The following is a 19,709-nucleotide window of genomic DNA, read 5'->3' as shown; positions in this document are numbered from 1 at the left end:
GCGCCCAGACTAATTTTGTATTTTTATTTATTTATTTATTTTGAGGTGGAGTCTCCCTGTTGCCCAGGTTGGAGTGCAGCGGCACAATCTCAGCTCACTGCAACCTCTGCCTCTGGGGTTCAAGCGATTCTCCTGCCTCAGCCTCCAGAGTAGCTGGGATTACAGGCATGCGCCACCACACCAGGCTAATTTTGTACTTTTAGTAGAGATGGGGTTTCACCATGTTAACCAGGCTGGTCTCAAATTCCTGACCTCAGGTGATCCGCCCATCTCAGCCTCTGAAAGTGCTGGGATTACAGGCATGAGCCACCTTGCCCAGCCTAAATCGAGGTTCTCCAAGAAAAACTAAAACAGGCTGGGTGTGGTACTCACGCCTGTAAGCCCAGCACTTTGGGAGGCCGAGGTGGGCGGATCACTTGATGTCAGGAGTTTGAGACCTGCCTGGCCAACAGAGCAAAACCCATCTCTACTAAAAATACAAAAAAAATTAGCCAGGCGTGGTGGCTCATACCTGTAGTCCTAGCTACTTGGGAGGCTGAGGCAGGAGATTCGCTTAAGCCCAGAAGGTGGAGGTTGCAGTGAGCTGAGATCACGCCATTGCACTCCAGCCTGGGTGACTGAGAGAGACTCTGTCTCGCAAAAAAAAAAAAAAAAAGAAAAAAAAAGAAAAACTAAAACAACACAAAGGATGAAGATGGGTCAAATGGTCATGTTGGCCAGCTGAGGTGGCTCACGCCTATAATCCTAGCACTTTGGGAGGCCAAGGCAGACGGATCACCTGAGGTCAGGAGTGTGAGACCAGCCTGGCCAACACGGTGAAACCCTGTCCCTACTAAAAATTCAAAAAATTAGCTGGGCATAGTGGCACGTGCCTGTAATCCCAGCTACTTGGGAGGCTGAAGCAGGAGAATTGCTTGAACCTGGTAGGCAGAGGTTGCAGTGAGCTGAGATTGTGCCACTACACTCCAGCCTGGCGACAGAGCGAGACTCCATCTCAAAAAAAAAAAAAAAAGTCACGTTGTCAATTAAAATGAATCAATGGAAATAAAGATAAGGGTGTGGACTTCTAACTGGTCAGAATCCCTGCTCTCTCTTCTCCTATTCAGAAAGCTCTACTCAACATTTATCGCAGACAGAGGGGGTCAGATTTGTGACTGTCTGCCTCCCAATCAGACCGTGAGAGCCTGAGGCATTTATCTTTCTGGCCAATTGCATATAGGAGAGTACCATAATGCCTGTTGAATTAATGGACAACTGATAAGAATAGCAAACATTTATTCTGTGCGTACCAAGTGCCAGCTGCTGGGCTGGGCACTTTATGAAGATGATCTCATTCAGTTCCTTTTACAACAGCATGTCTGGGAGCAATCTCTAGCCCCATTTTACACATAAGAAACTGAGGCCCAGAAAGGTCACTTCATTTACCTGAGATCATATAATAGGAAGAGTGGAGATGAGGGCTCAGCACTGTTGGGTGTCAGAGGTGAGGTGAGTAAAAGGCATGCAGAGAAGGGGCTGCTTCGCTCACCTCTGCCCTGATAGAATGGGCCCTTGTAGGGAGGTATGGTTTGTGAGTTTCATTCCATTTCAACCAGCCCAAGGGCCACTCATGGTATGATTTGTTTGGTGTTGGCTGTGCCAAAAAATGCTTTACTGAAGTGTGCTCAAAAGGAGCAGGTCATCCGATGACATCTGGAATTGCTTGGGCTGGAGTGCAGTGGCGTGATCTCGGCTCACTGCACCTTCAACCTCTGGGCTCAGGTGATCCTCCTGCCTCAGCCTCCCAAGTAGTCGGGACCACAGGCACACACCACCAAGCCTGACTAATTTTTGATTTTTTTTTTTTTTTTGAGACGGAGTCTCAGTCTGTTGTCCAGGCTGGAATGCAGTGGTGTGATCTCGGCTCACCGCAACCTCCGCCCCCTGGGTTCAAGCGATTCTCCTGCCTCAGTCTCCTGAGTAGCTGGGATTACAGGCTTGTACCACCACACCGGGCTAATTTTTCTATTTTTTAGTAAAGATGGGGTTTCACTATGTTGGCCGGGCTGGTCTTGAACTCCTGACCTCAAGTGATCCACCCGCCTCGGCCTCCCAAAGTGCTGGGATTACATGCATGAGCCACCGTGCCCGGCTAATTTTTGATTTTTTTGGAGAGATGAGGTCTCCCTTTGTTGCCCAGGCTGGTCTTGAACTCCTGGTCTCAAGCGATTTGCCCACCTCAGCCTCCCAGTGTTGGGATTACAGGCGTGAGCCACCACACCTGGGCCCCATTCTTTTCTTAACAGCTTTATTGAGATATAATACATACCATATAATTCACCCATTTAAAACATAAAATTCAACAGTTTAGGATATTCACAGGCATGTGCAACCATCACCACAGTCCATTTTAGAACATTTTCCTTACCACAGAGAAACCTGCCATCCTTTGGCTCTGACCCTGCTATTCCCTCAGGCCTAAGCAACCGCTAATTAACTTTCCATCTGTAGAGATTTGCCGATTCTGGATATACAACAGGTGGTCTTGTGTGACTGGCTTCCTTCACTCACCATAATATTTTCAAAGTTCATTCTTTTTTTTTTTTTTTTGAGACGGAGTTTTGCGCTGTCACCTGGGCTGGAGTGCAGTGGCACGATCTCTGCTCACTGCAAGCTCCGCCTCCCAGGTTCACGCCATTCTCCTGCCTCAGCCTCCCGAGTAGCTGGGACTACAGGTGCCCGCCACCACGCCCAGCTAATTTTTTTCTTGAAGGCTCCATCCATGTTGTTACACGTATCAGTACTTCATTTCTTTTTATGGATTAATATTTCTATTGTATAGATACATCACTTGTTTTTTTTTCCCGAGACCAAGTCTCACTATGTCACCTAGGCTGGAGTGCAGTGACGAGATCTCGGTTCACTGCAAACTCCACCCCCCGGGTTCAAGTGATTCTTGTGTCTCAGCCTCCCGAGTAAGCTGGCATTACACATGTGCGCCACCATGCCTGGCTAATTTTTGTGTTTTCAGTAGAGATGGGGTTTCACCATGTTGGCCAGGCTGGTCTGGTCTTGAACTCCTGCTCTCAAGTGATCCGCCTACCTCGGTCTCCCAAAGTCTGGGATCACAGGCATGAACCACCACATCTGACATTTGAGCATCTTTTCATGTGCTTATTGGCCATTTGTATTTATATTATTTGGAAAAATGTCTCTTGAAATCTTTTGCTTTTTTTTTTTCTTCTTTGACACAGGGTCTCTCACCTTCTGAGTAGCTGGGACCACAGGTGTGTGCCACCCAACCTGGCTAATTTTTTTTTTTTTTTTTGTAGCAGTGAGGTCTTCCCACGTTGCCCAAGTTGGTCTCAAACTCCAAGCCCCTGAGATATACATGATTTGCAAGTACTTTCTTCCATTCTGTGAGTTGTCTTTTCACTTTCTTGACAATGTTCTTGTCAGGCCTCTGAGCCCAAGCTAAGCCATCATAGCCCCCGTGACCTGCACGTATACATCCAGATGGCCTGAAGCAACTGAATATCCACAAAAGAAGTGAAAATAGCCTTAACTGATGACATTCCACCACTGTGATTTGTTCCTGCCCCAACCTAACTGATCAATGTACTTTGTAATCTCCCCCACCCTTAAGAAGGTTCTTTGTAATTCTCCCCACCCTTGAGAATGTACTTTGTGAGATCCATCCCTGCCCGCAAAACATTGCTCCTAACTCCACCACCTATCCCAAAACCTATAAGAACTAATGATAATCCCACCACCCTTTGCTTACTCTTTTCAGACTCAGCCCGCCTGCACCCAGGTGAAATAAACAGCCTTGTTGCTCACACAAAGCCTGTTTGGTGGTCTGTTCACACGGACACGCGTGACAGTTCTTTGTTGCAGAAAAATATTTCACTTTGATGAAGTACAGTTTATTTTTCTGTTGTCACTTGTGCTTTTGATGTCATATCTAAAAAACCATTGCCTGGCCGCATTGGCTCACACCTGTATCCCAGCACTTTGGGAGGCTGAGGCAGGCAAATCACTTGAGGTCAGGAGTTCAAGAGCAGCCTGGCCAACATGGTGAAACCCTGCTTTTACAAAAATTATCCAGGCATGGTGGAGGGTGCCTGTAATCCCAGTTACTGGGGAGGCTGAGGCAGGAGAATCGCTTGAACCTGGGAGGCGGAGGTTGCAGTGAGCCAAGATCGCGCCACTGCACTCCAGCCTGGGTAACAGAGCAAGATCTGTCTAAAATAAATAAATACGTAAATAAATAAAAATAAAAAAACATGACTAGGTGTGGTGGCTAACGCCTGTAATCCCAGCACTTTGGGAGGCCAAGGTGGGTGGATCACCTGAGGTCAGGAGTTTGAGACCAGCCTGGCTAACCTGGTGAAACCCCAGTCTCCACTAAAAATACAAAAAATTAGCCGGGCATGGTGGCACGTGCCTGTAATCCCAGCTACTCCGGAGGCTGAGGCAGGAGAATCGCTTGAACCCGGGAGGCAGAGGTTGCAGTAAGCTGAGATCACGCCATTGCACTCCAGCTTGGACAACGAGAGCGAAACTCCGTCTCAAAAACAGAAACCAAATAAACATTTCCTAACCAATGTCACAAAACTGTACCCCTATGTTTTCTTCTAAGAGTTTTCAGAATTGCCCTTGGAATGCAGTTCCCCACTCTTTGGGCACACCCCTGAGCAGGCCCCAAGCTAAATCCCTGGCCATAACTCCCCACACTACTCCCACCCTAACCCCAAGCAAGCTGCTTACATTTCAGTCTTTCAGTTTCAAGGTTCCATGTAGGGTGGGCAGCTGTGGACAGGTATCAAGGCAGCAGTTGGGGCCGGCCAGCAGGTTTAGGATGCAGGATAGCAAGAGAAGAGTGCCTGACTGGGAACAAGGCCACGCCTCTGAGACAAGGGCTTCTGGGCTGAAGTAGTGCCTGCTGGGGCCAACAGCACAACCTACCTGGACAGCTGTGGCAGGTCCTTAAGGGAGGGGCTGGGCCCACTGCTGGCCACCGCCACCCTAGTCCAATTCTCCATTGCTAGGAGCTGTTGCGTATTACCTAGAAAAGGAGCTTGTAAAATTGACTCTCTGGTCACCACCAAACTTGTCTTTTTTTTTTTTGAGACAGAGTTTTGCTCTTGTTGCCCAGGCTGGAGTGCAATGGTGTGATCTCAGCTCACCGAAACCTCCGCCTCCCAGGTTCAAGTGATTCTCCTGCCTCAGCCTCCCGAGTAGCTGGGATTACAGGCATGAGCCACCATGCCCAGCTAATTTTGTATTTTTTAGTAGAGATGGGGTTTCTCCATGTTGGTCAGGCTGGTCTCCAACTCCCGACCTCAGGTGATCTGCACACCTCGGCCTCCCAAAGTGCTGGGATTACAGGCGTGAGCCACTGCGCCCGGCCCAAACTTGTCTGTCTTTATCTCTACTTACAGTGAGTGTCAGGTCACCCTCTTGGAGACCGGTGATCAGAGGCTGATGACCTCTCACAGCTGCTGGCCCTGGGGACCTAGGGGATCCCTTTGGGAATCCCAGGTCAACCGGGTGCCAGCTCCATTGCTCTGGCTGTGTGGGTGGTGGTGGGTGGTGAGGCACATAGAAAGTCACCAGCGCCAGGGAAGGGCAGCTCAGAAATCCTGGTCATGCCAAGTGCCACTCAGGGCTATTCTCACTCTAGTGAGTGCTCATTGGTTCTTCCCGAAGTCCAGAGGGAAGGACACCATCGGGGGCGCTGTATCCCACCCGGCACCATTAGCCCCTGCCACCCACCACCCAGCAGCTGGATTCCCACGGGAGTTGCGGGTGGGGGCGGAACCGGCTGAGGTCTGGGGGCGGGGCGTCCGGGCGCGGGGCGGGGCTGGCGGGAATGTGCGCACCCCCGCGCGGGGCCCCGCCCGAGCATCCCGCGCCGACGGGGCTGTGCCGGAGCAGCTGTGCAGAGCTGCAGGCGCGCGTCATGGCTGCTTTGAGACAGCCCCAGGTCGCGGAGCTGCTGGCCGAGGCCCGGCGAGCCTTCCGGGAGGAGTTCGGGGCCGAGCCCGAGCTGGCCGTGTCAGCGCCGGGCCGCGTCAACCTCATCGGGGAACACACGGACTACAACCAGGGCCTGGTGCTGCCTATGGTGAGGGGCTGCACGGGGAGCCCCTAGCCCGCCGCCGCCTGTCCCGGCCGCCGAGGAGGGCGGGCCTCGGGGACGCTGGGGGCGAGTTCTTCCCGCGGGAGATGTGGGGCGGGCAGCTGCGCCTGGAGCACCGGTGCACGGAAGAGTCCCCGGGACAGGCTGTTCCCCACGTTGGAAGGGAGGAAGCGAGGAAGTGGCCGGGAGAGGGTGCGCGGCCGCCTCTTGGCTCAAGCCCGCCCTCTGGGGGCTGGGGCTCCTCGCCTTCAACCTGGGAGCATGTTCCCCTTAAACTGTGAGGCCCTGTGTGCCACGCAGAAGGGGACACTCCGCGCCTCCGGCCACCGTGGGGCCCCAACCGCAGACCTGGGCGAACGTAGCCTTCTGGCCCAGCCCGTTCAATTTACAGAGGAGGAAACTGAGGCCTAGAGAGGCCCAGTGAACTGCTGGAGGTCACACAGCAGGTTCTTGGCGGGGCTGCGACTTGGGAGTGAGGACTCCCAGCTTTCAGCGGGGGGCGCTTTCCGCCCCATCTGCAGCTTGGGGAGTGCACAGGTACAGGATGTCCAGAGCCACCCCAAAATGTAAAGGCTTTGGAGCTCCAGTGATCTGTTTTCCCTTTGGGCTAGCTCTCCCCCTTGCCCCACAGCTCAGGGCAGAGTCCAGGTCTGTGCTCCAGCTGCAGCCGCCCCGCCCCTGAAGACCTAAGGGGGCAGGGCTCAAGCCCCCAAGGTCAGCTGGCCCTCAGGATCTTCCCTGCGACGCTGAACCTGGAGGTTCAGAACCTGATGACTGTGGAGGCATCAGAACCTCGGCTGGAGGCAGTGTCATTGGAGAGGCTTACTCCAGCTGGCGGAAGCCTCACGTACTGCTTGTCTCTCCTGCCAGGCTCTGGAGCTCATGACGGTGCTGGTGGGCAGCCCCCGCAAGGATGGGCTGGTGTCTCTCCTCACCACCTCTGAGGGTGCCGATGAGCCCCAGCGGCTGCAGTTTCCACTGCCCACAGCCCAGCGCTCGCTGGAGCCTGGGACTCCTCGGTGGGCCAACTATGTCAAGGGAGTGATTCAGTACTACCCAGGTATGGGGCCCAGGCCTGAGCCAAGTCCTCACTGATACTAGGAGTGCCACCTCACAGCCACAGAGCCCATTCATTTGTCTGATACACTGTGGGGAAGGCTTGTAGAGTGGAGCATCCCATTGTACAGATGAGGAAACTGATGCCCCCAGAAGGTCGGGAACTTGCCCTGGGTTTCCCGTGACCTGATTGGAGGAGCCAGGATTTGAACCCCAGCCTTTTTTCCCTCCAGAGCCCTAAACCAGGAGGACAATTAGAAGTGTCCCAGCAACCTCAGAGGGTGGGAAAATGGAGGGCAGTGGGTCCCTTGGCCCAGCAGGTTGGTGGCTTCTGACAATTGAGACACACACCCTAGAAACAGCTGCTAGGCCGTTGCTGCCCTTCCCGCCAGGACACCTGCCCTTCCTGTGCCATCCTCCCAGGCAGCCCCTCTTACCATCACCTGTTCTTTCCCCTGCAGCTGCCCCCCTCCCTGGCTTCAGTGCAGTGGTGGTCAGCTCAGTGCCCCTGGGGGGTGGCCTGTCCAGCTCAGCATCCTTGGAAGTGGCCACGTACACCTTCCTCCAGCAGCTCTGTCCAGGTACCAGCTAGGCCCCAGCCCTGACCCAGCCCTCCTTCCCTGAGGTCTCCAGGTGGTCCCAGCTTCTACTATGCCTTATGGAGGGGGTGGCAGGGACTCTCCCTGGAGTGTCATTGAAGCCACTGCTGCTTCCACCAGCCCTAGCCTCCCCACCTCACCCTGTACTGCAGACTCGGGCACAATAGCTGCCCGCGCCCAGGTGTGTCAGCAGGCCGAGCACAGCTTCGCAGGGATGCCCTGTGGCATCATGGACCAGTTCATCTCACTTATGGGACAGAAAGGCCACGCGCTGCTCATTGACTGCAGGTTGGGCTCGCTCCCCTCGTCCCCTCCCGCCCTGCACTCAGCAGCTCCTGGGTGGGAGTGTGCCCACTGCCTGGCGCAGCAAGCACACGCTTGGCCTCGTCATCTCCCCCATTGTAACTCCACCCCAGGTCCTTGGAGACCAGCCTGGTGCCACTCTCGGACCCCAAGCTGGCCGTGCTCATCACCAACTCTAATGTCCGCCACTCCCTGGCCTCCAGCGAGTACCCTGTGCGGCGGCGCCAATGTGAAGAAGTGGCCCGGGCGCTGGGCAAGGAAAGCCTCCGGGAGGTACAACTGGAAGAGCTAGAGGGTGAGAACTGCCAGGGTGCTCTATCCTGGAGGCGGCTGTGCTCCCTGCTGGCGCCTCAGTGTGGCCTTGACCCTGCCTGGGACCCCGATCTCCAGGGCCTTCTGCCATGCTCTCCCCAGTCCCTTCAAACACTGCGCACCCAGGGTTCCAATCTCAGCAGGGCTGCTTGAAATCCTAAAATGGTCTTATCTAATCAGAAAAATCATGTTTCCATTGTGGAAAATGTAGAAAAGTACAAAGTAGAAAATAATAAGCTATAAGGCCACTACCCAGAGATAGCCACTGCTGACATTTTCACGTTTCCTTTCAGTATTTTTCCACATCTGTCTTCAAAGCTGAGTATATGTAATATATCATCACTTTCCCCCCCCACCCCCTTTTTTTTAAGAGGCAGGGTCTCATTCTGTTGCCCAAGCTGGAGTGTAGTGGTGTGATCATAGCTTACTGCAAACTTGAACTCTTGAGCTCAAGGGATCCTCCCAGCTCAGCCTTCCAAGTAGCTGAGATTACAGGTGTGCCACCATGCCCGGCTAATTTTTATCTTTGTAAAGACGGTCTTGCAGTGTTGCCCAGGCTGATCCTGAACTCTGGCCTCAAGTGGTCCTCCTGCCTTGGCCTCCCAAAGTGTTGGGATTATAGGCATGAGCCACTGCGCCCAGCCCATTTGCCGTGTTTTTTTTTTGGACACAGAGTTTCGGTCTTGTCACCCATGCTGGAGTGCAATGGTGCGATCTCAGCTCACTGTAACCTCTGCCTCCCGGGTTCAAGTGATTCTCCTGCCTCAGCCTCCCGAGTAGCTGGGACTACAGGCGCCCGCCACTACGCCTGGCACATTTTTTATAGTTCTAGTAGAGACTGGGGTTTCACCATGTTGGCCAGGCTGGTCTCAAACGCCTGACCTCAGGTGATCCTCCCGCCTCAGCCTTCCAAAGTGCTGGGATTACAGGCGTGAGCCATAGTGCCGGTCTCTTTTTTTTTTTTTTTTAAACTAAACATAATCTCAGAACCCAGAACCCTATCTTATCTTATGCCATGAAAGGCATATCTCGGTGTGGCTCTTTTTTTTTTTTTTTCTTTTTTTTTTGGTGAGGTGGAGGCTTGCCCTGTTGCCCAGGCTGGAGTGCAGTGGCGCAATCTCGGCTCACTGCATCCTCCACCTCCTGGGTTCAAATGATTCTCCTGCCTTAGCTTCCTGAGTAGCTGGGATTACTGGCACCCACCACCACGCCCAGCCAATTTTTATATTTTTAGTAGAGACGGGGTTTCATGTTGGCCAGGCTGGTCTCGAACTCCTGATCTCGTGATCTGCCCGCCTCAGCCTCCCAATGTGCTAGGATTACATGTGTGAGCCACTGCACCTGGCCTCCGTGTGGCTCTTTAAAGCTCCACAATATTTTAGCATTCAGGTGCTCTGTCATTTACTTAACTATTTTCTGATACACCTCACACTGTGATTAACTTTTTTTATTTATCTTTTTTATTATTTATTTATTTATTTATTTGAGACAGAGTCTTGCTCTGTCACCCAGGCTGCAGTGCAGTGGCACGATCTCGGCTCACTGCAACCTCTGCCTCCCAGGTTCAAGTGATTCTCCTGCCTCAGCCTCCTGAGTAGCTAGGATTAGAGGCATGTGCCACCACACCTGGCTAATTTTTGTATTTTTAGTAGAGATGAGGTTTTACCATGTTGGTCGGGCTGGTCGTGAACTCCTGACCTGGTGATCTGCCCACCTCAGCCTCCCAAAGTACTGGGATGACAGGCATGAACCACTGTGCCTGGCCATCTTTTTTATTTTTTAAAGAGATGGGTTCTGCTAAGTTGCCCAGGCTGGACCTGAACTCTTGGGCTCAAGTAATCTTCTCACCTAGTCTCCTGGGTAGCTGCAACCAAAGGCACCCGGTTTATCTGCATTCTCTTTTTTTTCTTTGAGACTGAGTCTTGCTCTGTAGCCCAGGCTGGAGCGCAGTGGCGTGATCTCGGCTCACTGCAACCTCCGTCTTCAGGGTTCAAGCAATTCTCCTGCCTCAGCCTCTGGAGTGGCTGGGACTACAGGCGTGTGCCACCAGAGCGAGTTAATTTTTTTTTTTTTTTGTATTTTTAGTGGACACTGGGTTTCACTATATTGGCCAGGCTGGTCTTGGACTCCTGACCTCAAGTGATCCGCCTGCCTTGGCCTCCCAAAGTGCTGGGATTACAGGCACAGGCGTGAGCCACTACACCTGGCCTATCTGCATTCTCTTAATAGTTTCTTAGAAATGGATTCTTAGGAGTAGGATTACAGAGTCAAGAGACACAAGTATTGTAGGCTGGGTGCGGTGGCTCACGTCTGTGCCTGTAATCCCAGCACTTTAGGAGGCCAAGGTGGGCAGATTCATTGAGCTCAGGAATTCGAGACCAGCCTGGGCAACATGGCAAAACCCCATCTCTAAAGAAATACAAAAATTAGCCAGGTGTGGTGGTGTGTGCCTGTAGTCCTAGCTACTTAGGAGGCTGGGGTGGGAGGATCAATTGAGCCCAGGAGGTTGAGACTGCAGTGAGCTGTGATTGCACCATGGCACTCCAGCCTGGGCCTCAAAGTGAGATCCTGTCTCCAAAACAAAAAAGATACAAGTATCCTTAAGGCTCCTGCTACACATGGCCAGGAAGGTAGTCTATTGGACAGTTTTAAGGTCATTATCAATATTAGCTCATTTAATTCCCTCCAAAACTCTGTAAAGCACATTCTGCTACCATAGTTGTCATATTTTTGATGGGGGAATCTACAGTGAGAGGCAGTGCTGGGATCTGAACCCCATCTGGACAGATTAGCTCCAGGGCCCATGCTCTTGACTGGCTGGCCGTGCTGCCCACACTGAGTTGTTCCTTCCTGGCAGTGTAGGTGTGCCTATCTCAGGGACACTAGACAGCTCCGAGGGACCTCCCTGTCCTTTTCCTTTGTGAACTGTGTCACGTTCTCCAGAGCAGTGCTCAGACCTGCCCTGCCTGCTCTGTGCAGATGCCCTTGGCCAAGGTTTTCACACTGGAACAAGTTGGTCCCTCCTCCCCACCCCAGCCTGTCCTTGCCCCTCCTCCAGGTCTCCTTCTGCATAGGAGCAGCTCACCCTGCCTCCTCCAGAGTCCTGCCCTAGAAGCGCAATCCCTCTCCTTCCATCCCCTGCCTGGCTGCCTGGCTCCTTCCCTCAGCCTCCAAGACATGCTCAGTTTTCTTCCCTCCTAAAACACCACCCACTGTCTCATTTCCATTCATTTCTTTCTTTCTTTCTTTCTTTTTTTTTGAGAGGGAGCCTCACTCTGTCACCCAGGCTGAAGTGCAGTGGCATGATCTCCACTCACTGCAACCTCCGCCTCCCAGGTTCAAGCAATTCTCCTGCCTCAGCCTCCTGAGTAGCTGCGATTACAGGCGCCTGCCACGATGCCCGGCTAACTTTTGTATTTTTAGTAGAGACGGGGTTTCGCCATGTTGGCCAGGCTGGTCTCGAGCTCCTGACCTCAGGCAATCTGCCTGCCTCAGCTTCCCAAAGTGCTGGGATTACAGGTGTGAGCCACCGCGCCCACCCATTCATTTCTCAGTCCTTTGAATCTACTTGCCCCTCCATCCCGCCATGCCACCTACCCTAACAACCTTCCCCCTTAAACCTGCGGGTTTGGCCGGGCGCAGTACACTGAGTCAGTACTGGTACTGACCCAGGTACCCCTCCAGCCTCAGCTCCAGTCAGATGGGACAGCCTGCTGGTCCCTGGCTGCTTCTGCCCCCTCTTCTGGAGCCCCAGCCCTGGAGGCTCCATGTGGCTCAGCAGAACTTCTTCTCCTCCTGCTCTGTGGTGGCCTCTTGAGGGCAGCACTCACCTTGGAAAGCATGGAGTGTTTCAACCCTCACTGCTCCCTGAAGGACCAAGGTGTCCCATTTTACAGTCGGGGGAGGAGGCACTGTGATAAAGGGGCTCTTCAGACCCACGTCTGAGAGAGCCAGGCTGCCCTGCCCCCGCGGCCTTCCACCCTTCACCGTCCAGCCAGGGCCACTGCCATCACCGCCTGCTGGTCCTCACAGGCGTCGGGGCCCCAGGCAGTGAGAAGGCGGCTGCTGACTCCTCTTTCCTCCCCAGCTGCCAGGGACCTGGTGAGCAAAGAGGGCTTCCGGCGGGCCCGGCACGTGGTGGGGGAGATTCGGCGCACGGCCCAGGCAGCGGCCGCCCTGAGACGTGGCGACTACAGAGCCTTTGGCCGCCTCATGGTGGAGAGCCACCGCTCACTCAGGTGAGGCCCTCTGGGCGCCCCGCTCCTGCCGGGCACAGGCCGGCCCAGGCCCACCCCTTCAATATCCTCTCTGCAGAGACGACTATGAGGTGAGCTGCCCAGAGCTGGACCAGCTGGTGGAGGCTGCGCTTGCTGTGCCTGGGGTTTATGGCAGCCGCATGACGGGCGGTGGCTTCGGTGGCTGCACGGTGACACTGCTGGAGGCCTCCGCTGCTCCCCACGCCATGCGGCACATCCAGGTGGGCGGGCACCAGGGCCTGGGCGGGCAGGAGCGGCAGCTTCCCGGGGCCCTGCCACTCACCCCCAGCCCGCCTCTTACAGGAGCACTACGGCGGGACTGCCACCTTCTACCTCTCTCAAGCAGCCGATGGAGCCAAGGTGCTGTGCTTGTGAGGCACCCCCAGGACAGCACACGGTGAGGGTGCGGGGCCTGCAGGCCAGTCCCACGGCTCTGTGCCCGGTGCCATCTTCCATATCCGGGTGCTCAATAAACTTGTGCCTCCAATGTGGTACCTGCCTCCTCTAGAGGTGGGTGTATGCTTGGGTGTCAGAGAATGGGGGATGTCAGAACCGCTCCCCTACCCTAGGGGAGCACCTCTCAGGCCCCAGAAGAATGGGCAAGGCAGGGCCTAGCAGTAGCAAAACCATTTATTAAGTGCAGAACAAAGGCTGGGTCCTTGTGCTGCTCCCAGCTCTTTGGTTACAAATAGGTTTGGGCCCACAGAGGACGGACCTTGCCCCCTTCATGCCTCCCAGGAGACACCTAGCCCCTGCTCTGTGCATGCGGGTGGGCTGGGCCCCCAGGGGTGCAAGGATGGAGTAGCTGAGGAGGCTCCGGGAGAGGAGTCGGGAGGACGCCTAGTGGGACGTGGCGGGGGTGGGGCAGGGTGCGGTCAAGTTTGGAAGAACTGTTGGTCCATGTGGGTGCTAAGGGTTCCGCTGGTGGTCAGTGTCCGGCTCACAAACTCCTGGGTCACATGCCGGGTGAGGGAGCCGCCTGCCTCCAGGTGCTGGGCCCCCAGGGTCAGCCCATCTGTGGAGGAGGAGGCATTAGATGACCTGGCTTGGGGTCTGCCCTTCTCCCTCTGCTAGCTCCCTGTCCCAGGAGAGCCGGGATCCCCTAGCCCTCAGTGCTCACCCACTAGGAAGGGCTCGGTGGCGCTGGTGTGGGTGGTGGTGATGCTGCTGTACTCGCTTTGCAGCGGGTGCTGGAAGAGCCCGGCACGGCTGCCCAGCTGCGGGAAGGGTCCTGGGGTGGGCAGATAGGCCAGTCAGAGGGTGGTGCCAGAAGGAGGCACGGCCCGAGGAGGGGTGGGGGTGAAGGAAAGGACAGGTGCCTACCTCCATCCTGGGACTCTATGGTGATGATGCCCTCGCGCTCTGGCCCGAAGCCCTCAGTGGTCCTGGCCTGCACCTTGAACTTGTAGGGCACGTTCTCGCTGAGGCCCGGCACGGTCAGCCGGCTCTCGGGGCTGTCTCCATCCACCCGGAATGCGGTGGCTGGCCCTGAGCAGGGAAGATGCCTTCAGCGTCTGCGGCCCCCTCTTTACCCCTCCCCTGGCCACTCCTGCCCCCGGGGTGGGCAGCACCTCCTCCTTGGGCCATCTCACAGGTCACCAGGTAGCCGACGATATCCCCATTGGGCCTCCGTGGCCGCTCCCAGCTCAGCTGCAGCGAGTCTGGGCTCAGGGCAGTGAACACCAGCGGGCCTGGGGCACTGGGAGTGCTCAAAGTGAAGGCGGAGCCTGGGGGCAGTAGAGGAAGAGCATCAGCCTGTGGGTGGGTGGTGGGCATGATGGGGGCAGCTCTGGGGCTGGGGGAGGCAACTCACCTGGCAGGGGACACAGTGGGCTCTGCGGGTGCACCTGGGATTCAATGGTGATGACACCCTCACGCTCTCGGCCCCAGCCTTCCTGGCTCTGGGCCCGCACGCGGAACACGTAGGAGTGGTTGGGCAGGAGGTCTTCCACCACCACCGAGGTCTGGGCAGGGTTGGGGATGTTGAGCCGATGCAGCTCACCTGGGGGGATCAGGTGGGGGCACACAGTAGTGCAGTGTTACTCCCACCCCTGGCCTGATCCTCCTCGTCCCTAAGCTGCCATCGAGACCTAGTTATCACCCACCCAGGACTAGCTGTGGTTTGGGTACAGGTTGGGTACAGTATGGTATGGCTGGTTGTTCAGATTGTGTACTATACAAGAGTGGAGCCTGTAATCCCACTCATGTTTAGGCAACATCCTGCATCCTGGTCATGCTGCTTTGAATGTGCCTGCCCAGGGAAGTGCCACTTCCTTGTTCCCCCAAAGGCATCTCAGGCCAGCAGAGGCCCTAGGATCCCAGCCCAAAGGGGCCTTGTTAGGCAAAACCTAGCAGAGAATGACCAGGAGAGAGGCCCAGGGAGGTGGGTGAGACCTCAGAAGAGGGGAGGCAAAGAAGTGGGGTGGAGAATGGGGTGGGAGACCCTCTCAGGCTGGATGGGGGCTTTAGCGCTCAAGGGACTTGGGTGGGTTCCTGACACAGCTGAGGTACCCTATGTGTCACACTGGGGCCAGGCCTTGCAGGGCTGCACCCCGCAGCCTGGCAGCCACCATGCCTCACCGCCGTTCAGCAGCTGGTACTCCACACTGTAGCCCTGCAGCGGCCGCTCGCACCGCGGCTCCTGCCAGCTCACTCTGAGAGATGTGGGCCCCAGGGCAGAGAACACCAGGCGGGTGGGCGTGTCGGGCACACCAGCAGTCAGGCGAGAGTCTGGGGACAGGAGGCCGCAGTCAGCCAGAGATGCAGGGGCTAGGGTCTCAGTGGGAGTCACAGTGCTGCCCCCTGACCTCCCTCCCTCAGCTGGCATGTCTACACTGACCGCTGGCTGGACAACTCACTCACCCTGCAACACCCTGTCCAGGCTGCCCAGCACCTACCGCACATCCTCCAGCAGGGTGCAGGCCCTGCTTGTGCCAAAAGAGAGTGAGCCCCGTGAGTCTGCCAGCCCCACCCCCTCAACTGCTCAGCTGGCCTGGCCCCTCTCCTGCCCCAGCCCCAGCCCCGCCCCCTGGGAGGGCAGAGGCAGAGTTAGGCATCAGCACTGATGGTAGGGCAGGTGGTTAGCGCCTGTGGGCAGGCGGGGGTCCTGTGGATGGAATGGAGGGGAAGCAGTGGGCACAGCTGGCGGCTGCTATGGTGGCTGGATGACAGATGGAGCAGGACAGCTGTGGAGACAGGATGGCCACCCCTGTACTACCTGGGCCCCAGGAGGGCGCTGCTGGCCTCCCAGCCAGGATTATAGAGTCTCGTGGGCCCCTGGAAGGGGGGAACCCTTTCATCTGAGCCCGACTCCGGGACCCCAGGGCCCAGGACAGCGGAAGCCTGCTCCTCCCGTGTTCCCAGATGGGAGGGAGGCCTAGGGCAGGACAAAACAAGAGTGAGAGGAGCAGGGAGTGTGCATGCATGTGTGTACGTGTGCGCATGCATGTCTGTGTACATGTGTGCATGCGTGTGCACGTGTGTGCGTGCATGTGTGCATGCGTGTGTGTATGTTGGAGAATGGGCGGTGGGGACAGCAGACAGAAGCCCGAGGCTCCAGGAGCTGGAAGAGAGGAAGGGTTAGTGGGAGAGGCAGGGTTGGCTGAGGTCACTCACCGTGGGAGGAGACGGAGGTGAGGGTGGAGTAGTCCCTGGGCAGTGTGGTCGAGTGTGAGTGTTCTGAGCGGGTCAGTGAGTTGTAGTCCCGTGTGAGGGTGGAGGATGTGCTTAGCACGCGGTGGGGCACGTGTGGGCTCAGGTGGGTGCCATAGGCAGCAGCACTGGTCGTGGTCATCCTGTGCAGGGAGTTGGTGCTGCCCGGGAAGGCAAAGTCCATCCGGCCATTCACCAGGTGCTCTGCAGGGGGAGAGCAGGGTCCCTTGGTCAGGCCTGCCCCAGACCCGGGCCCCGTGGGGCAGGCTGGGCCCTGCACATTCCTGGTCACCCACCCTCTGGGTGGCTTTTGCTTAAATACAACCAGTTTCCCTCAAACCACTAGGGACAGAGGCCCTCTGTCCCTGCAGGAGCCCAAGGGCCACCCAGGCTTCCACAGCCCATATCCTCTGGCCGGCCACTCTATCGGTGTGAGCACTGCTGACCCTGGCAGTGGCGGGGGTTTGCTGCGTCTGCAGTCAGCTCTGCCCTGGGGAGATCCCCAAGCCTTCCCTCCTGTCCTTTGAGGCCCCTGAGGGGTCTACTTGGGTGCCAGGGTCCGCTTCCCGGGCAGACTTCTGAATTTGCACCCCCTGGCCAGGCAGGCACCATAAGGGCCCAAGCGCCTGCCTCACGCGTCCCCTGGCACTGGGCCCTGCCTCTGAGCAGCTGTGCTCCCAGCCGCCAAGGCCCGGGCCTGGCTGAAACTGGGGCCCCCGAGGCAGCGCAGACGCCCACCCCAGGCCCTCAGGCGCGAGTGAGGCTGGGTGGGCGCGGATCGGGGGGCGGCGGGTGAGCCTGTCACCTCCGGGGGGCCCGGGTGTCGCACTGCGGGGCAGGCTGCCGCCCTTCCCGCCCGCGCCGCCGTCGTCCGGGGGCCCGTGGGGCGCCTCGGCGTCGGAGGAGCGCCCGCTGCTGGCCGACAGGCGCGGGATGAGCTCCGGGGGCAGCCGCCACGTGACGCGCCGCAGGTCCAGCTCCTCCCCCAGCAGGGGCTCGAACTTCCAGCCGCAGCCTTGGGAACAACGAAGGGCCGCGTTGGCACCGCCGGGGGGCGCCGGGCCGAGCAGGGCCAGGCGGGGGAAGGCCGTAGGCTCTGCGAGGGGAGCCCGTCTCCAGCTCCCGGGATCCCGGGGTGTGTGTTGGGGGCGGGGGTAGATGCGCACGGCCGGAGCGGGAAGGCCGCGGCAGGTGAAACCCTTGCGCGGCTGAAGCCTTTCCAGATGAGCGAGTGCAGCCTCGGCACAGCTGGGGAGGAGAGACCCCCGGACCCGCCAGAAACCTGGGGGAAGTCTGGGCTCTGTCACCAGCTGTGAGGTCTCCCTTGCTTTACTTAACCTCTCCGAGACTCAGTTTCCCGTTTGTACAATGGAGAGAGGAATCTTGCCCCTGCCCGCCTCCCAGGGACCGTTCCGCAAGCCACCGAGCGCTTCGCAGGTAGTGTTAGAAGCAGCTGAGCTGGGGTTCCAGAGTCACACCAGCTGCGCTCCACCTGAACCCCTCAAAATGGCTCCTTAAGCCCAAGCTGAGCCCCGTGGGGGCCAGTATGTGTTCACCGGGGGCAGCTTGAGGCATCGGCAGGGACAGAAGAAAATACAAAAGATATACGTGCCCCAGAGGTTTTTCCACTCATGGTACTGTGTGATTGGTATCCCATTATACAGAGCAGAAAAGTGAGGCATGGAAAGGATGAGTGATTCATCTGATGTCCCACAGGTGGAGCCACAGCTGACACTGAGCACTCAGGAGGCCCAGCTAAGGGCTCCGCAGCACTTTGTGCTGGGAATCAAGGAGGAAGGACAGAGCTGTTGGGGGTGTTCTTGTCTCCTTGGCTCCCCTACCCCTGCCAGGTGGCCGCCTGGTGGCTGCCCAGGGCTCCTGGGCCAGGCCTGCCCCTGGGGGGTGGCCTGAGTGTCCTGTGTGCATGGCACAGCTGGTGAACCTTCAACTTGTGAAGCTGTGTTTCTTCGTGGTCCCGTGGGCATGAACTCATGTGCGCTTGCACAAGGCTGTGTGTGTCTGTCCCCCAGGCACTGGTTCCTGTGCCCCATGCACAGATGTGCACTCCATTGCATTTGTCCAAGGCTGCCTTAACCTCCATGTCCTCTAGTTGCTGGCCCCTTTGCCCTCTCTGGACCCAGTGGACTCACTCTGTACCCAAGACCCCCACTGTCCTCTTGTGGGTCCCAGGTCTCCACTCACCAGTGTCATCGGAGACGCTGGGCCTCTGGCTGCCCGATGGAGAGCGTAGAACGTCATCGCTGTACATAAGGAAGCTGTCGTAGTCCTCCCCGCTCTGGGCGTCCACGATAGGGATGTCAGGGATGATGGGGACTGCAGGGCAGGGGAGTGAGCCAGGGCCCTGGCTGCTGCCCCCTGCCCCCCTGCCCGGTCTGCCCCTCACCTCCCTGCCCACCACTCACTGGACATGGGCCTCTTGGGCTGGGTGGCCAGGTTGATGATGGCCTCCCGCTCAGGCCCCCAGCCGGCCCCGTTGCGCGCCTTCACCGTGTAGCGGTAGGGCTGGGACTCCCGAAGGTTCTCAATAAGCAGCATCCGGTTCTTAGGGTTGTCAACCAGCACTTTCTTCATGGGCCCAATAGGTCCTGGGGCAGAGAGAGTGCTTCAGAGGGTCACCCAGGTCCCAGCCTGGTCCCAACACCACCCCTGACACAGCAGGACGGCCGTGCATCCCCTGGATGGCACCCAGGGGCTGGGGAAGCAAGGCAAAGCCAGCCACTGCTGAATTGCCGCCTGCGGAGCCCTGAGCGTCAGCATGACTGGCGTGGACATATGTCACCAGTCCTCCAAGGGACTCTGCTGAGTAAGTGGCAGAGCCAGGGCTGGACTCAAGTTGGCCTCGATGTCACCTCTACCCATATATCCACGGTGCCTCCACACAAGGCAAGGGCACGCATAGGGGTTGCCCACCCTGCCTCCCTTCCAGGACTGGAGAAATAACTGTTCTGCTAGGCACCTCTGATCTCGGGCTGCTAGATAAAATAATGTATAAAATAATCCTTTTTATTTATTTATTTTTAGACGGAGTCTGGCTCTGTCACCCTGTCTGGAGTGCGGTAACACGATCTCGGTTCACTGCAACCTGCGCCTTCTGGGTTCAAGTGATTCTCCTGCCTCAGCCTCCTGACTAGCTGGGACTACAGGCATGAGCCACCATGCCTGTCTAATTTTTAGTAGAAACGGTTTCACCATGTTAGCCAGGCTGGTCTTGAACTCCTGACCTCAAGCAGTCCACCTGCCTCGGCCTCTCAATGTACAAAATAATCTTTTAAAGTGCTATCTGAAATTCAGAACCTCCTGTATTTCTGTTTGCTAAATCCGGTAACTTTCCTCTCACCCTAAGAAAACCATGCACGTGTGAGCTCCCTGGTTACCTGCATGGGGAGG

General features: G+C 56.8%; 2 protein-coding genes across 17 annotated transcripts in view, besides 10 other annotated features; one reads left to right on the top strand and one right to left on the bottom strand.

The window, feature by feature from the left end:
- Nucleotides 5,725-5,914: a silencer, noted in NCBI's record as "silent region_8980". NCBI's record gives its function as "represses an Ori minimal core promoter by ATAC-STARR-seq in GM12878 lymphoblastoid cells {active_cell/tissue: GM12878}" and the evidence as "EXISTENCE:reporter gene assay evidence [ECO:0000049][PMID:35858748]".
- On the top strand, nucleotides 5,889-19,612 carry GALK1 (galactokinase 1). Of its 2 annotated transcripts, NM_001381985.1 has the most exons (9): nucleotides 5,889-6,109; nucleotides 6,995-7,184; nucleotides 7,642-7,761; nucleotides 7,932-8,067; nucleotides 8,196-8,377; nucleotides 12,482-12,632; nucleotides 12,709-12,871; nucleotides 12,954-13,047; nucleotides 19,344-19,612. In NM_001381985.1, the coding sequence occupies exons 1-8, from the start codon at nucleotides 5,945-5,947 to the stop codon at nucleotides 13,023-13,025; spliced, it is 1,179 nt and encodes a 392-aa protein (NP_001368914.1). In that variant the 5' UTR covers nucleotides 5,889-5,944; the 3' UTR covers nucleotides 13,026-13,047; nucleotides 19,344-19,612. The 2 variants fall into 2 exon arrangements, with proteins under 2 accessions (NP_001368914.1, NP_000145.1); NM_000154.2 differs by lacking the exon at nucleotides 19,344-19,612 and having other exon boundaries at nucleotides 12,954-13,187.
- Nucleotides 6,145-6,294: a silencer, noted in NCBI's record as "silent region_8979". NCBI's record gives its function as "represses an Ori minimal core promoter by ATAC-STARR-seq in GM12878 lymphoblastoid cells {active_cell/tissue: GM12878}" and the evidence as "EXISTENCE:reporter gene assay evidence [ECO:0000049][PMID:35858748]".
- Nucleotides 6,405-6,634: an enhancer, noted in NCBI's record as "active region_12775". NCBI's record gives its function as "activates an Ori minimal core promoter by ATAC-STARR-seq in GM12878 lymphoblastoid cells {active_cell/tissue: GM12878}" and the evidence as "EXISTENCE:reporter gene assay evidence [ECO:0000049][PMID:35858748]".
- Nucleotides 6,665-6,874: an enhancer, noted in NCBI's record as "active region_12774". NCBI's record gives its function as "activates an Ori minimal core promoter by ATAC-STARR-seq in GM12878 lymphoblastoid cells {active_cell/tissue: GM12878}" and the evidence as "EXISTENCE:reporter gene assay evidence [ECO:0000049][PMID:35858748]".
- Nucleotides 11,973-12,499: an enhancer, noted in NCBI's record as "H3K27ac-H3K4me1 hESC enhancer chr17:73754663-73755189 (GRCh37/hg19 assembly coordinates)". NCBI's record gives its function as "activates a minimal SCP1, AML or CMV promoter by ChIP-STARR-seq in naive H9 embryonic stem cells {active_cell/tissue: H9 hESC(naive)}" and the evidence as "EXISTENCE:reporter gene assay evidence [ECO:0000049][PMID:30033119]".
- Nucleotides 12,500-13,026: an enhancer, noted in NCBI's record as "H3K27ac-H3K4me1 hESC enhancer chr17:73754136-73754662 (GRCh37/hg19 assembly coordinates)". NCBI's record gives its function as "activates a minimal SCP1, AML or CMV promoter by ChIP-STARR-seq in naive H9 embryonic stem cells {active_cell/tissue: H9 hESC(naive)}" and the evidence as "EXISTENCE:reporter gene assay evidence [ECO:0000049][PMID:30033119]".
- ITGB4 (integrin subunit beta 4) overlaps nucleotides 13,263-19,709 on the bottom strand; it is a 36,360-nt gene continuing 29,913 nt past the window's right edge. For 4 of the 15 annotated variants that reach the window (XM_005257311.5, XM_005257309.3, XM_006721866.4 and 1 more), the window contains 11 exons: nucleotides 18,725-18,907; nucleotides 18,504-18,635; nucleotides 17,107-17,316; nucleotides 16,266-16,505; nucleotides 15,868-16,026; nucleotides 15,231-15,380; nucleotides 14,464-14,652; nucleotides 14,222-14,377; nucleotides 13,974-14,138; nucleotides 13,771-13,881; nucleotides 13,263-13,665 (listed from right to left, as the gene is read on the bottom strand). In XM_005257311.5, coding sequence (XP_005257368.1) covers nucleotides 13,526-13,665; nucleotides 13,771-13,881; nucleotides 13,974-14,138; nucleotides 14,222-14,377; nucleotides 14,464-14,652; nucleotides 15,231-15,380; nucleotides 15,868-16,026; nucleotides 16,266-16,505; nucleotides 17,107-17,316; nucleotides 18,504-18,635; nucleotides 18,725-18,907 — 1,835 coding nt within the window. In that variant the 3' untranslated portion in view covers nucleotides 13,263-13,525. Of the gene's footprint in view, nucleotides 13,882-13,973; nucleotides 14,139-14,221; nucleotides 14,378-14,463; nucleotides 14,653-15,230; nucleotides 15,381-15,867; nucleotides 16,027-16,265; nucleotides 16,506-17,106; nucleotides 17,317-18,503; nucleotides 18,636-18,724; nucleotides 18,908-19,709 lie in introns of all 15 variants that reach the window. The other 11 variants (NM_001005731.3, NM_001321123.2, XM_006721870.4 and 8 more) reach the window with 6 other exon arrangements.
- Nucleotides 15,525-15,694: a silencer, noted in NCBI's record as "silent region_8978". NCBI's record gives its function as "represses an Ori minimal core promoter by ATAC-STARR-seq in GM12878 lymphoblastoid cells {active_cell/tissue: GM12878}" and the evidence as "EXISTENCE:reporter gene assay evidence [ECO:0000049][PMID:35858748]".
- Nucleotides 16,541-17,314: an enhancer, noted in NCBI's record as "H3K4me1 hESC enhancer chr17:73749848-73750621 (GRCh37/hg19 assembly coordinates)". NCBI's record gives its function as "activates a minimal SCP1, AML or CMV promoter by ChIP-STARR-seq in naive H9 embryonic stem cells {active_cell/tissue: H9 hESC(naive)}" and the evidence as "EXISTENCE:reporter gene assay evidence [ECO:0000049][PMID:30033119]".
- Nucleotides 16,541-17,511: a biological region, named in NCBI's record as "H3K4me1 hESC enhancer GRCh37_chr17:73749848-73750621".
- Nucleotides 16,902-17,511: a silencer, noted in NCBI's record as "silent region_8977". NCBI's record gives its function as "represses an Ori minimal core promoter by ATAC-STARR-seq in GM12878 lymphoblastoid cells {active_cell/tissue: GM12878}" and the evidence as "EXISTENCE:reporter gene assay evidence [ECO:0000049][PMID:35858748]".

The sequence above is a fragment of the Homo sapiens genome, chromosome 17 (genome assembly GCF_000001405.40).
Source record: "Homo sapiens chromosome 17, GRCh38.p14 Primary Assembly".
NCBI classification, from domain to species: Eukaryota; Metazoa; Chordata; class Mammalia; order Primates; family Hominidae; genus Homo; species Homo sapiens.
Note: the sequence above shows the minus strand (reverse complement) of the source record. Positions and strands in the feature narration are given on the sequence as shown.